This window comes from Homo sapiens, chromosome 6 (genome assembly GCF_000001405.40).
Source record: "Homo sapiens chromosome 6, GRCh38.p14 Primary Assembly".
Classification (NCBI taxonomy): domain Eukaryota; kingdom Metazoa; phylum Chordata; class Mammalia; order Primates; family Hominidae; genus Homo; species Homo sapiens.
Genome location: NC_000006.12, coordinates 135,054,843 through 135,070,647, shown reverse-complemented (window position 1 = coordinate 135,070,647; position 15,805 = coordinate 135,054,843). Strand labels below are relative to the sequence as shown.

The 15,805-nt window shown below is 41.3% G+C and overlaps 2 long non-coding RNA genes across 2 annotated transcripts, besides 2 other annotated features; one reads left to right on the top strand and one right to left on the bottom strand.

Moving 5' to 3' along the window:
- Positions 3,593-3,682: an enhancer, noted in NCBI's record as "active region_25098". NCBI's record gives its function as "activates an Ori minimal core promoter by ATAC-STARR-seq in GM12878 lymphoblastoid cells {active_cell/tissue: GM12878}" and the evidence as "EXISTENCE:reporter gene assay evidence [ECO:0000049][PMID:35858748]".
- On the bottom strand, positions 9,302-15,755 carry LOC124901405 (uncharacterized). Its single transcript, XR_007059775.1, has 2 exons — positions 15,162-15,755; positions 9,302-10,433 (listed from the first exon to the last, which is right to left on the bottom strand). It is a non-coding gene; the product is annotated as an uncharacterized LOC124901405 (long non-coding RNA).
- Positions 11,912-12,930, top strand: LOC124901406 (uncharacterized). The gene is made up of 2 exons (XR_007059776.1): positions 11,912-12,029; positions 12,359-12,930. It is a non-coding gene; the product is annotated as an uncharacterized LOC124901406 (long non-coding RNA).
- Positions 15,618-15,667: an enhancer, noted in NCBI's record as "active region_25097". NCBI's record gives its function as "activates an Ori minimal core promoter by ATAC-STARR-seq in GM12878 lymphoblastoid cells {active_cell/tissue: GM12878}" and the evidence as "EXISTENCE:reporter gene assay evidence [ECO:0000049][PMID:35858748]".

Genomic DNA, 15,805 nt, shown 5'->3' with positions numbered 1-15,805 from the left:
ACCGTAGCAAAACCCCATCTCTACAAAACAAAAAACAAAAAAACAAAAATTATCTGGGTGTGGTGCTGTGTGCCTGTAGTCCCAGATACTCAGGAGGCTGAGGTGGGAAGGTTGCTTGAGCCCAGGAGGTGGAGGTTGCAGTGAGCCAGGATTGCACCACCACACTCCAGCCTGGGAGACAGAGCAAGACCCTGTCTCAAAAAAAAAAAAAAAAAAAAAAATGAGAACTAGAAATTTGCTCGTATTTCCAGACTTTCTAAGAACCTAAGCACACACCAAGACTTAGTGTGTTTTCTGCTTTTACATTCAAAAATGATAGACGCTATAAATGCTGTGATTCAAGTATCATTTACATTTTAAACTGGAGGCCAGGCACGGTGGCTCATGCCTGTAATCCCAGCACTTTGGGAGGCCAAGGTGGGCAGATCACTTGAGGTCAGGGGTTCGCGACCAGCCTGGTCAACATAGTGAAACCTGTCTCTACTAAAAATACAAAAATTAGCCGGACATGGTGGCGCATGCCTGTAGTCCCTGCTACTTGGGAGACTGAGGCAGGAGAATCCCTTGAACCTGGGAGGCGGAGGTTGTAGTAAGCCAAGATCACACCACTGCATTCCAGCCTGGGCAACAAAGTGAGATTCCGACTCAAAAAAAAAAAAAAAAAAAAATTAAACCGGAAAGAAACTTAGAGGTCCTGTGGTAAAACCTGTTTAAAAGCAAACAAACAAACAAACAGAGGCTGGCAAAGTGAGTTGCCTTGACACAGTTAGTTGATTGCTAACCTGAAGCGTTCCTAAATTATAGATAGATATTCTTTGCCTTGCACCAAGTTGCTTTTTGATAGGAGGCAAAACAAAGGAGCCTTCCCATGCATTTCTTCATGACAAAGTTTTCTGCAGCCACTGCTTCTATTGGTAAATGAAGTACTCTTCTTAGGTTCTTTGAGAGACATGCTAAATACTGGAAATTTGCCATGACATGAAGGATACCAGAAATCAGTCCTACTAATAGGCTTACCATGATACAGGTTATTTCCGAATTCCTGATTTACCCCTTATTCTAGAGTGCCTATATTAAGGCACATAAAGAATTTAAAAATCTCTCTCCTTGTGGGACACTTCCTCCCTAAACATCAGTGTGCCCCTGAAAGGTTCTTTTCCCTAAGTAGAATGAGTAAATCACAAGGCAACAGCTCTATACAAGGAGTTCAGAATTCATCAAGCCAATACTCCTAGGTCCAGGGCTGAGAAGAAGAAAGAGGGGCCAATATAAAGGCCAGTCTATGTTTGGCTCTTCTTATTGGTCTCGTTAAACAAATTGTGATTTTAAAAAAATTTCTAGTATATTTTTCCTCTAAAGCTGTTTATTGTTTTTTCTTCTTTTTCATTGTCTGTCAATAGGCTATGACTAGTGGAGAAAGCAATAATGACCTATATATTAAGACAGATTTATGTACACTAGTATGTCTGAGTATAGGAACAAAATTATCTCAGCTTTTGTCTGGCCTAAAACTCTTGGAATGGAATAATTAATTCTTAAGCATTTTACTGAAGGTTTAAAAATATCTTTATAGAGAATTTTCTGTGTTTAATGGATTAGGAGTATCCTAATAACATGACAGTGTACTTCATTGCATGCTGCTTAATTTCCTGTCCTCTTTTTCATTCACTAATAAAAGCATGACTTAAGGAATAAACTGTCCTTGGGACACATCTGAATCAATTATCAGTGCAAGTGAAATTTAATATCCCTGTAGTAATTTTTTTTTTTTGACGGAGTCTCGCACTGTCGCCTGGACTGGAGTATAATGGCACGATCTCGGCTCACTGCAACCTCTGCCTCCTGGGTTCAAGCGATTCTCCTGCCTCAACCTCCCAAGTAGCTGGGATTACAGGTGCCCTATACCTCACTCAGCTAATTTTTTGTATTTTTAGTAGAGACAGGGTTTCACTATGTTGGCCAGGCTGGTCTCGAACTCTTGACCTCGTGATCTGCCTGCCTTAGCCCCCCAAAGTGCTGGGATTACAGGCGTGAGCCACCACACCCGGCCATAATTTTTTTTTTGAGACAGAGTTTCACCCTGTTGCCCAGGCTGGAGTGCAATGCTGCGATCTAAGTTCACAGCAACCACTGCCTCCTGGGTTCAAGCAATTCTCCTGCCTCAGCCTCCTGGGTAGCTGGGATTACAGGCACGTGCCACCATGCCAGGCTAATTTTTTGTATCTTTAGTAGAGAGCGGGTTTCACCATGTTGGCCAGGCTGGTTTCGAACTCCTGAACTCATGATCCATCCGCCTCAGCCTCCCAAAGTGCTGGGATTACAGGCGTGAGCCACCGTGCCTGGCCAACACTGTAGTAATTAAAAATAATAATAATAAATGACCTACATTAATATTACTTGGGAAGATGATATTTTATCAAAAGTTTCCTTGTTCAGCTGTCATTTTTTTGAAGGGCATCAACCTTTGAATAAAGTATTTGTTCCTTAAAACTTCTCAGGCAATTAATATGTTGGGTAACAAGTGAAAGAATGGAGACTACAGAATTTCATAACATAAATTTTCCACACAGAAAATCAAGTCCTTGTTACACTAGCTTTCTTGATTCGTTTTAGTGTAACATTTCAATGGGGTAGAATAAAAAGATCTTTTATGATTATTTATGGTATACGTAGGAGGCAGTTTTCAGAATTGTGACTAGTGACCAAAGAAAATCTCACTTAAAGCAGACTCTCTAAACTTGTATTCTTTGTCATATAAATAATCCGAATCAATAGTACTTATAATTAACTTTATATAACTATCATTAGCATTTTTGTGAATTATGAGAGTCTATAGACATGTAACATGGCGGTATTTACTACTGTCTCTGTGAGATGTTTTTTGGGTTGATAATTATTCTGGTTATCTATTGCTAAACAACAACCCCAAAACTTAGTGGCTTAAAATAAACATTTATATTTGTTCACAATTCTGCAACTTGGGTAGAATCAGTGAGGACAGATGATCTCTATTCCACTCAGCATCTGCTGGGGTATCTGGAAGGCTGGACACTGGGATAATCTGAAGCCTCATTCACATACATGTCTGGTCATGAAGGCCGGTTGTCATCTGGAATCTCAGCAAAGGCACTACTGGGCACCTACATATGGCCTTTCCAAATTGCTGTTTGCCTTCCTCGTATTATGGCGACTGGGTTCTGAGGGTGAGCATCCAAAGAGGACCAAGTGAAAGCCGTATCACCTTTTATGGCCAGCTTTAGCAGGTACGTAATGTGGCTTCCAATGCAGTCATAGGTCCGCCCAGTTTTATGGGGAGGAAAGATCTCTCAATGGAAAAGTATGTCTCAAAGGCAGAGTCTCCCAATCTCTTGGTGGAGAAGAGTCGGTGTATTAGCCTGTTCTCACACTGCTATAAAGAATTGCCTGAGATTGGGTAATTTATGAAGAAAAGAGGTTTAATTGACTCACAGTTTCACAGACTGTACAGGGAGCATGGCTGGGAGGCCTCAGGAAATTTACAATCATGGTGGAAAGATGAAGGGGAAGCAAACACACCTTCAGATGGCTGCGGGAGAGAGAAAGCAAAGAGGGAAGTGCTACACACTTTCAGACAACCAGATCTCATGAGAACTCACTCACTATCATGAGAACAGCAAGGGGGAAATCCGACCCTATGATCTAATCACCTCCCACCAGGCCCCTCCCCCAACATTGGGGATTACAATTCAACATGAGATTTGGGTGGGGACACGTAGCCAAACCATATCAGTCAGTATTACATGGAAAGAAGATCATGTTGGATAGAATGTACTGGTGTGGACATCTTAGGAAAATATAATCTACCACAATACCACAGTCATAACGGGAAACATAAAGGACTAATTTTTGCCCAGTGTTCTACTTGAAAAGGATTAATATCTATTCTGTTTATCTAAATGCAAACATGGCTTTAAAAACTTCTAGTTATATCAGTGTGATTATGTGTATCTCAACCAGAGTCAAAAGCAACTCTTGCCTAATAAAACCATCACAAGTCAGGAAATAAGGAAATATGAACAAATATGAAGAAAATGACTAATCATATTGAACCATTTCCTGAGAGAAACAGAAATTAGAAACCAAAGCCTTCTAAATGACCCCTGGTAAAATTACACAGGCAATTAGTATCAAGTGGCCTCTTCTAAGTGTGAAAGTTTTTCAGAGCTTCTAATAAATTTTACGGGATAGTTTGCAAAGTCTATGGCCCAATATACAGGCAACACTGTTGTGTGACTGTCCCATATCCAAGTTTTTCAAGATGAGCAATGGCTCAACCCTATACACATATTGAGGTGAGAAGGAAAACAAGTGCTTCCCTTTGGCCGTTCCCATTTTCCAACTTGTCTTTCTGAAGAAAATCTAGTAAGAACAATATCTAGTGGCTGAAAGGGTTTTGATTTAAATTATTTTACTCCTTTCTTAGAGTTTTTCTAGATATAGGTTTCTAAACAACACATTGACACTATAGCCCATTTTCTGCCTTTTCAAAGAAAACAGAGCATGACAGGGCAAGGAAGGGAAATTCCTCAAACAGTTCAGTGTTTTAAATGACTTTTAATGAGAGCCGCTTTTACCTTTTAAAACCCTACCTTTTATGTGTATGCTTTTTTTCTGGTTTAAATTTGATTTGCAAATTTTCTTTGCTTTGAATTTTCCCCTAGGATTTAAAGATGCTCTGTCCTTTGATTTGTCATTAACATTCCGTTGGTGCCTTGCAGCATTTTATACTGCAGACACACCTCTTTCCCATGGCTGAAAAGCTGTATGTGTCCCTACATTATACATACACTTGGAGCGCTAAGATGATACCCAGAGGTAGACAGTCTATAAATCCTAGAAGAAATTGTGCATACACTAAGATGGTATATTGGCAAGTCTGGATTCAGACTAGGATGAATCTAGAAAATAAGTATTTCATCTTTGAAATATTCCCACCCAACTTTCTTTCTTAAAGTACTGTACTCAAAATGGACAGTTCTCTTCAACCTGTATGGAAGCTGTTGTATTAAAGATTTCCAGATGTACTGGATATATCCAGCAATATTGGGAGCTATGCTAATTTCTTTTTTTTCTTTTCTTTTCTTTTTCTTTTTTTTTTTTTGAGACAGTCTTGCTCTGTTGCCCAGGTGCAATGGCACAATCTTCGCTCACTGCAACCTCTGCCTCATGGGTTCAAGCGATTCTCCTGCCTCAGCCTCCCTAGTAGCTGGGATTACAGGCTCCCATCACCACACCCAGCTAATTTTTGTATTTTTAGTAGAGACAGGGTTTCATCATGTTGGCCAGCTGGTCTCGCACTCCTGACCTCAGGTGATCCACCCACCTCGGCCTCCTAAAGTGCTGGGATTACAGGCGTGAGCCACCGTGCCTGGCCAAGCTGTGCTAATTTCTTGAGAACATAACCTGGAAAGGCTGAAAGTCCCTCAAAAAAGCCTCCTACTTGGCATGGTGCAGTGTTGAGAGTTGGGCAGGAGGGTAGTGATATTACCTGGCTAGGGACTGAAAGGAGTGACCGAGGGCAGTCTCACTGAGTGTTGCATGCCGCAGCATAGAGCTGAGAAAACACTTGACAATCATGAGCCCTACCAAGGGGCAAGAAAATGCTAAATGTTTTGTTGGCCCAATAGGTGTGACATAAAGACAGGGAGGCCTCCTGAGGGCCTCATCACCGGATGCAGTGATAAAGTTCAAGGGCAACAGTAGTGATGTCAGCACCCAGGCAACCAAACCAGACCAACCTCATCTCATAATTTTCAAGACCCAAATGAAATCTGTCCTGTGCAGTGGAAGTCAGTGGGGCCAAAGAAGAATACAAGCATTGTTGGAGTACTTTCTATGTGCCTAGAGCTGCTCTAGATGCTTTAATGAATTAAGCCATTCAAATCTTCACAACTGTTTAGAGTAGTTCAATTTTTATCCTCTATCTTACAGTGTGACAACTAAGGCCCTGAGATGAGAAGCATTTGGCCCAAGTTTATGCAGTGGCTCATGCCTGTAATCCCAGCACTTCAAGAGGCTAGGCAGGAGGATCCCTTGAGCCCAGGAGTATGAGGCCAGCCTGGGCAAGATAGCAAGACCTCGTCTCTACTAAACATAAAGAAAATTAGCAGGGTGTGATGGAGCGAGCCTGCAGCCCCAGCGTGAACCCAAAAGTATCTGAGACAGGTCTCAATTTAGAAAGCTTATTTTGCCAAGGTTAAGAATGCACTCATAACACAGCCTCAGGAGGTACTGAAGACACATGCCCAAGGTGTTCGGGTACAGCTTGCTTTTATACATTTTAGGGAGACATAACACATCAATTAATACATGTAAGATTTACATTGCTTCTATCTGGAAGGGCGGGACAATGTCAAGTTGGGGGTCTTCAGGTCATAGGTAGATTAAAAAATTTTCTAATTAGCAATTGGTTGAAAAAGTTATTATCAGTAGTAAGGAATGTCTGGCTCACAATAAGGGATTGTGGAGACCAAGATTTTATCATGCAGATGAAGCCTCCCAGGAGCAGGCTTCAAAGAGGGCAGACTATAAATGTTTCTTGTCACACTTAAGGTCTGTGTTGAAGTTAATGCTGGAGGGGTATAATGAGGCATATCCAACACCCTCTTCCATCACGGCCAGAATTAGATTTTCATGTTAACTCTGTAATGCCGTTGGCCAAGAGAAAGGGTCCATTCAGATGACTGAGGGGCCTTAGAAATTTTTGGTTTATACCAGCTACGCTGAGAGGTTGAGGAAAGAGGAGCACTTGAGCCTGGGAGATTGAGGCCGCAGTGAGCCGAGACTGTGCCACTGTACTCCAGCCTGGGCATCAGAGCAAGACCTTGTCTCAAAAAAAAAAGATTACACATTTGGTAAATTGCAGAACAGAGCTTTTTGCCCAAGTGGCTTATAATCATTACAGAAATTGCCATTGTGCCAGACCTTTCTCCTTCTCTGCCTCCAAGTTACAGAAGTTACAGAAGCTTCTCATTGCACCCATGTTTCTCAGGTGGCTCTCTGCTTTCAAATTGACTGAATACCGCCCAGGTGCAGTGGCTCACACCTGTAATCCCAGCACTTTGGGAGGCAGAGGTGGGTGGATCACCTGAGGTCAAGAGTTTGAGACCACCCTAGCCAACAGGGTGAAACCCCATCTCTACTAAAAGTACAAAAATTAGATGGGGGTGGTGGCACGCGCCTGTAGTCCCAGCTACTCTGGAGACTGAGGCAGGAGGATCGCTTGAACCCGGAAGGCAGAGGTTGCAGTGAGCCGAGATCGGCCACTGCATTCCAGCCTGGGTGACAGAGTGAGACTCCGTCTCAAAAAAAAAAAAAAAAAAAAAAGATTGAACATCTAAAACAGATTGTTTCACTGAAAGAGACTCTTTAAAAAAATTAGAGCTATATTGATATATAATTAACACCATAGAATTGAAGCAGCTACCTTGTCTGGGGTAAATACCTGGGGTTCATCATCTCGTGCCACGAAAATTAAGGACACGGACACACCTGAGGAGTTAAGGAGTAGAGGTTTAACAGGCAAAAGAAAGATAAAGGAAAATAGCTCTCTCTAGTGAGAGAGAAGGGACTTCTGAGAGGAAAGAACCAGCTGGTGGATGCGCCAGATTTTATAGTCAGGCTGGAGGAAGTGGTGTCGGATTTATATAGGGCTCACAGATTGGTTGAATCAGGTACTAGGTTTACATAGCTCAGGAGAAGGCTGGCCGCCCCACCCTAATCTTATTATGCAAATGAACTTTCCCCTTGTCCGGTGCCACTTTGTTTGCTCCTTCCTGTACACCTGGCTGGCCAAGAAGGGAAGATGGAGTCGCCATTTTGAACACAATTGACAACAACTGCCAGCTTGTATGTCTGCAGCTCGATTTTACAGGCTGCTCTTTGTTAGTAAGCAAAATGACTTGGGGCTGCTTTTCATTTAAAGGAAAACCTTACCGAGGTCTTCTATACCCTCACTATCTGTCTAAGTAATTTCTTTTCTTTCTTTTTTTTTTTTTTTGAGACGGAGTCTGGCTCTGTCGCCCAGGCTGGAGTGCAGTGGCGTGATCTTGGTTCACGGCAATCCCCGCCTCCCAGGTTCAAGCAATTCTCCTGCCTCAGTCTCCCGAGTAGCTGGGATTACAGACACATGCCACCATTCCCAACTAATTTTTGTATTTTTAGTAGAGACGGAGTTTCTCAAACTCCTGACCTAAGGTGATCTACTCTCCTCAGCCTCCCAAAGTGCTGGGACTTTACAGGCATTAGCCACTGCACCTGGCCCAGTAATTTCTTCTTAACTCCTATATCAGAATTTACCCATTTAGGCTGGGCACGGAGGCTCATGCCGGTAATCCCAGCACTTTGGGAGGCTGAGGCAGGTGGATTGCTTGAGCTCAGGAGTTTGAGACCAGCCTGGGCAACATGGCAAAACCCCATTACTACAAAAATAAAAAAAAAATTAGCTGGGCATGGTGGCATGACAGAGTGGGTGACAGAATGAAACCCTGTCTTAAAAAAAATTACCCATTTAAAGTGTACAGTTTTTTAAGTGTTTTTTTTTGTATATTTACCGAGTTGCACAACCGTCAACACCCCCAATCTTAGACCATTTCCATCACCCCATAAGGAAACGCCCCTGTCCATTAGCAGTCACTCCTCATTTCCCCCAACCTCCCCATCCCTAAGCAACTACTAACCTACTTTCTGACTCTATAGACTTGCCTGTGCTGGAAATTTCAAGTAAATAGAATCATGAAATGTGTATTTCTTTTGGTTGTGCATACAATAACAAGGTATATTTGGCAAGCCTGGATTCAGACCAGGATGAATCCAGAAAATAAGTATCTCATTTTTCACTGAAGTATTCCCACCCAACTCAGAAGAGGGGCTTCTTTCACTTCATGTAATGTTTTCCGGTTCATCCATGTTGAAGCTTATTATCAGTACTTCACTTCTTTTTATTGTTGTATAATAGTGTACTCTGTGAATAGCCCACATTTTATTTTTCCATTCATCTGTTAATGGACATTTCAGTTGTTTCTACTTTTGACTCCTATGAATATGCTGTTATGAACATTCATGTACAAGTCTGTATGTGGACATAAGTTTTCATTTTTGGGGGGTATATACAAAAGATACCTTTAAATCTAGAAATTTCTACTTATAGCTCTCACTGCCATATTACGCACTCTCTTGCACTCTCTCATTCCTTGCAGATGGTGTCCTTCTCCAGAATATTACTGATATTGGTCTCCAAAGTAATGAACTTCTTACAAATATATTTATTTTTCATGTTATAACTTTATTCAACAATAATTCAATAACATTTATTTTATTTATTCTAGTTTTGTACCAGCCACTACACTGGATGCAAGAGATATAAAATAAACTAGAGTGTCCCTGCCTTTAAGGAATTTACATCTAACTGGGGAAGTGGAGAGGGGTAGAAGAAAACATAGACAATTAGAATATTATTAATGTGTGTTGTAGCAGAAACAAATACTGTGCTTTAAGGCACACAGGAGGGACACTTATTCTGCAGAGTCAAGGAAGGTGTCGCAGAATGTGTGATGGAAACTGGGCTTTGCTGAGCAATAAAGAGGGAATGGGGACAGATGGGCATTCTAAGCAGAAGAATTAGTATGTGTGAATGTCCCGAGTCAGGAAGACCATGGCTGGACTTGGAACCATAAAAGTAGGAGCTGATGTAGAGTGCCCCACGTCTGGTGGTAGAGAGGTGGCAGGTGAGGTGGCAAACCAGGCAGCATTGACATCATAGTGGAACTCCTATGTCCTTCTAAGGGTTTGGACTGAGTTTGTAAATAATGTGCTTCCATTGAAAGATGTTTAACCTGGAGAACTGATTATTATTAGAGAGTTTAGAACAATATGAACTTTTGAATAAGTATCATAAGGAACTCCTGAAACATCTTTATTATTATATTTCATGATTAAGTGCTTGACAGCTGGAAAGCCTAGGGTTGGTGGTTGAAAGAACCTATCTACGCAGGAAGCAGATTTCACCCAGGTGGTGTTATTTTGTTGGTATTCCCCATTTAGTGGTTCATGGCTCAGTGTAGAACTCTTTGACTTTATTTTGTTGTTGCAGGGCATTACTCTGCCTTATGAAATGCATGACCCTATCATTACCTCTCCAAGGTTTTGGTATGTTCTGCATTAAGCTCTATAATACTACACAGAAATTAAAAATCACCCACTGAGTCTTCTTTGAAGATCCGTTTCAGCGTCCCTGAATACCTTCTTGTTTGCTTGGTTATGCTGTCAGCGCTTCTGTCAAACATGGAATTCCCAGATAGCCTCAAGTCCTTTGGGGGCAAAACTTTGTCTTGATCACAGGATCTTGTCACAGGATCTTGTCACAGGATCTTGCCAATTTTTACTTAGCTGGATTTCTGTCAAGAAACAAAGGGGCAGGGAGTGGGGGAGAGAGAGAGAGAAAGAGAGAACAATATGTGAGGAAAGTAGTCAGGGGGAATTGCAAATAGGAAGGTAAGAATATCATTCGTTGAGACAGAGGGTTATAGAAGTAATTCGGCATATCAACAGGAAAATAAATACATCTGTTTATAAATTTTACAGATATTTGGTGACAATAATCAAGATGAGCAGATTTACATTATTAACATATAATAACAAGTATAATTCACAAGTCCTCAAAACAATTGCAAAACTGCAAAGGACCCCAAAGGATCTTCCCACACACCCATGACATTTTCTAGTTTGTAGCATAGGCCCTACTTTCCTAGACACTTAACTAGAAAATTCTAGAACTTTTCTTATATACCATGTCTAATGTCACAATTATAACTATCCTCCATCCCTCCCATTCTTTTTTGGAGATGGTGTCTTGCTCTGTCACCTAGGCTGGAGTACAGTAGCACGATCTTGGCTCGCTGCAACCTCTGCCTCCTAGGTTCAACTGATTCTCCCACCTCAGCCTCCCAAGTAGCTGGGATTACAGGCTCCCGGCACCACGCCTGGCTAGTTTTTGTATTTTTAGTAGAGACATGGTTTCACCATGTTGGCCAGGCTGGTCTTGAACTGCCCGCCTTAGCCTTCCCAAGTGCTGGGATTACAGGCGTGAGCCACCGCGCCCAGCCTTATTCTTCCTTTCTTAATGACTAAGATCAATTCCTTCATTTCTTTTTAATAGTTATGGAGTAGAAGCGTCACTATAATTTATTTACCAAACCTCATATGAGTATTTAAGTAGCTAACAAGGACAGTGTTATTTCAGGAACAACAGAAAATTTTAAGTGTAAATGGATGAGTAATTGTTTAGTTTCAAATACAGGATGAAGAACAGACTATACTCTGAGAAATACTGATATATTGTTAAGTAAATTCTAACTCAGATGTATCACAGTGCTTAGATCTTTAAAACAGGACACTATATGCTGGGCATGGTGGCTCATGCTTGTAATCCCAGCACTTTGGGAGGTGGAGGTGGGAGGATGGCTTGAGCTCAGGAGTTTGAGACCAGCCTGGGGAACATAGTGAGAACTTGTCAATACAAATAAAATAAAATAAATAAATAAAACAACACTATGAGGCATAAAGGAAACATCTGACATATATGTATATATTAAAGACAGGAATGAAAATTCCATTTAATAAATTTTTGCATTTTTTAATTTGGTTTTTAAATTGAGGTATAACTTATTACTGAAAGGTGCATAAATTTTAAATGTACAGTAAAATAAAATTGTATACATGTATAAAACCTTATAATCCTAACCCAGATCAATATATAGAACATCTCCAGCACCTCTGAAAGCTCCCTTTAATTCTCTCTTTCCTGACTCCATTAATATCTACTTCAAAAGTAACTATCATTTTGACTTTTTTTAATTTTATTTTTTTTACACAGAGTTTTGCTCTGTCGCCCAGGCTGGAGTGCAGTGGCGTGATCTCGGCTCACTGAGACCTCCACCTCCCGGGTTCAAGCAATTCTCCCGCCTCAGCCTCCCGAGTAGCTGGGATTGCAGGTGCGTGCCACCACACCCGGCTAGTTTTTTGTATTTTTAATAGAGATGGGGTTTCACCATGTTGACCAGGCTGGTGTCAAACTCCTGACCTTGTGCTCCGCCCATCTTGGCCTCCCAAAGTGCTGGGATTTACATGCATGAGCCACCGCGCCCGGCCGTAAGCTTAACATCTTTAGACCTCATGAAGTGTTGGCAATGATGTTGAGAAAATAGAGAAAATGGAACTACATTGCTGGTGGAAACATAAAACTTTACAACTGTTTTTGGAAAACAGTTTGACAGTTTCTTTAAAAAGCTGAAGATAACCTATCATATCATTCTACTCCTAGGTATTTACCCAGGAAAAATTAGTTTATGTTTATACGAAGATTCGTACACAGATATTCACAGAAGCCTTATTTACAGTCGTCAAAATGGAAAACAAACCAAATATCTCTCAATGGGTGAATGGAAAAACAAATTGTGGTATATCCACACAGCGGAATCCTCCTCTAATAAAAAGGAATGAACTGTTGATTCAAGCAACTACACAGGTGAATCTCAAAATAATTATGCTGAGTGAATTAAGACAGATAAAAAAGAACACATACTATATGATTTCACCTGTATAAAATTTTAAAAAATGCAAACAACTCATAGTGACAGAAAGACGATCAGTTATTTTGAGGGGCCATGGTGAGGAGGCCTTGACGGGCAGGAAGGATTCCGGGATATTCTGGAATTTTTATTCTGGATATAAAGGTACTTCAGGAAAATTTTGAAAGTCTGGATATGTTCATTATCTTGATGGGGTTGATGGCTTCACTGGTGTATACATACGTCAAAATGTATCAAAATTACACATTATGTGCAGTTTATTGTCAATGATATCTCAATAAAGTTGTTAACATTTTTTCAGTAATGTAGTTATCCTTTCATTCATAATTTTTTTCACAAATCAATATAAAATGATTTGTATTGTTTTTTATGACATTAACAATTCCATAGCAAGAGAAATGTCATTTTATTTCTCTTCTTTTACTCATTAATTCATTCAGCAAACATTTAAAGTGCCAGACATTAGGGTGCCGGAGAAACAAAGATAAAGCTTTGAAATTAGTAGGGGTAGAGAAGTGGCATTTACTGAGTACCCATTCTGCAACACCTACTGTTTTTACATATATCATTTACTTTTCACAAAACAGAAGACATACATTTTCATATATTCGATTTTACAGATGAAGACATTAAATCTGAAGTGGTTAACAGCAACAAAACTGGGACTGAAATCCAGGTTCGTGGTACTCCGAAGTCATAGTACTTTCCATCAAAACACAATACCAGAGTTTTATTCATTTATTTTTTGAGTCGGAGTTTTGCCCTTGTTGTCCAGGCTGGAGTGCAGTGGCACGATCTCAGCTCACTGCAACTCCTGCCTCCTGGGTTCAAGCGATTCTCCTGCCTCAGCCTCCCGAGTAGCTGGGATTACAGTCACCCACCACCACGCACAGCTAATTTTTTTTTATTTTTAGTGGAAGATGGGGGTTTCACCATGGTGGCCAGGCTGGTCTGGAACTCTTGACCTCAGGTGATCCACCCGCCTCAGCGTCCCAAAGTGCTGGGATTACAGGCGTGAGCCACGGTGCCCTGCCCACACCTTACAGAGTCCTGAGGGGAGTGGAACAATCCTAACTTTTTCTGAAGAAGTCAGTGAAGGCTTTGCCATTGAGGCTCTACTGTTTGAGATGCAGTAGATGCTGTGCAATATTTAGAGTTTTAAAGGAGTGCGTTATTGACGACCTAAGGGCAAATTATATATTATCTGACAGAAGTAACGTTTTCTTATTCATTGTTCCTGTAGTACTTTGCTTATGTGGTCTATAACTCATTCACTTCATACCTCAGTGAGTTGTAGTTAAGCTTGTAATTGACAATTACAGTGGAGTGGAAGCTGCCATTTGTATTTTAATAACACAATTTTTTTGGGGGGGTGCAGAGTCTCACTCTGTCTCCAGGCTGGAGTGCAGTGGCACAATCTTAGCTCACTGCAACCTCTGCCTCCCGGGTTCAAGCGATTCTCCTGCCTCAGCCTCCCGAGTAGCTAGGACTATAGGCACGCGCCACCATGCCTAGCTAATTTTTGTATTTTTAGTAGACAGGGAGTTTCACCATGTTGGCCAGAATGGTCTTGATCTCTTGACCTCATGATCCGCCTGCTTCAGCCTCCCAAAGTGTTGGGATCACAGGAGTCAGCCACCGCGCCCGGCCAATAACACAATATTTTTAAGCACCTACTATGATCTGTGATAAATCCTCTTATACGGATACATTATTCACAGCTCGCGAGTTAGTGTCTCTATCTCCTTTTTACAAAGAAACAGGCTGCAAAATAAAAATTACCTAAGGGTGTAAAATAATAAAAACACTTAAGCCATGTAACATTAGCAACTATCTCTATTTTTCTGTAAACTTTTATTTTGGAGCCACATTAAACAACTATTTTTGTAGTCAAACACATTCAAATGCATGAATAAATTACGTTCCAAGCCACTTACAAATATAAACTAAATTTGGATTACTCTTATTTCTTTCTATTGTGCATAGCAAAAAGCTGAGGAAGCTTTTAATTATCTCTAGAACTCAACATTTGCCTTTGATGTGAAGTATCATCATTTCAAAAACACAAGCTAAAACTGAAGTGGTGTTCAGTATAATGAGGTTGGTTTCTTATATAGCATTATTAACTTTATGTTCTGAGAAATGAGGACATTTAATAGCAGGTTATAGATTCATGCATCAACAACATTCAGCATTACCACCTAAGGCCAGTGCTATGTCTAAAAAGCTATATTTAATACTCGCAATGTTACACACAATTATGTCTTCAATGAATGTTCAGTGAATCCTTCTTTATGATGCTGATAAATATCGTCTATATAGCTAAAATCGTTTACATAGCTAAGGGCAAATCGCTGTTTACTAGGGATAGTAATGCCGAACGGAGTGAATACATGAAGTCGTAAATTATATGAATGCAGGGTGACCTAATATAGCCAGGGTCTCAATTTAATAATATATACCCGTTTAAAAATAGCCTTATTTCCTTCTCTAAAGCTTGGACTCTTTTTTTTTTTGAGATAAGGTCTCACTCACTTTGTCGCCCGGGCTGGAATGGAGAGGCCCGATCTCAGCTCACTGCAGCCTCGACCGCCTGGGCTCAGGGGATCCTCCCACCTCAGCCTCTTCAGTAGCTGGGACTACAGGTCTGCACCACAGGGCCGGCTAGTGTTTGTATTTTTTGTAGAGACGGAGCCTCGCTATGTTGCTCAGGCTGGTCTCGAACACCTGAGTTCAAGCGATCCGCCCTCCTAGGCTTCCCAAAGTGCTGGGATTACAGGAAGGAGCCACCGCACCGGCCTGGGCTAAATCTGATTCCAAGTTTACACAAGTTTGTTGAATGCCCACTGTGTGCTTAATGAAAGATCAAAGTTTGATAAAACAAGGTCCCTGCTCTTACTGAGCGCATAGCTTTCTCAGATTATCAGGAACCAAATTTGGAAAATAATCCAGAACGCTGGCGTAGGTAGCTCAAGGTTCCCCGCTTGCAACATTTAGTCCAAACCAGTCAATTCTAGGCGGCGGATTTCCCCATCCCCCTCCGTCGCCCAACCTTTGGGTGGGGCCACTCCCAAACGCTCCCTCCCCTCGTCCCGCCATGCACAGCAGTGCGCATGCGCCCTCAGGGAGGCGGACAGTGACCCTGAGGCATTGCCGTCGCGCGGTGCACAGCTAAGACG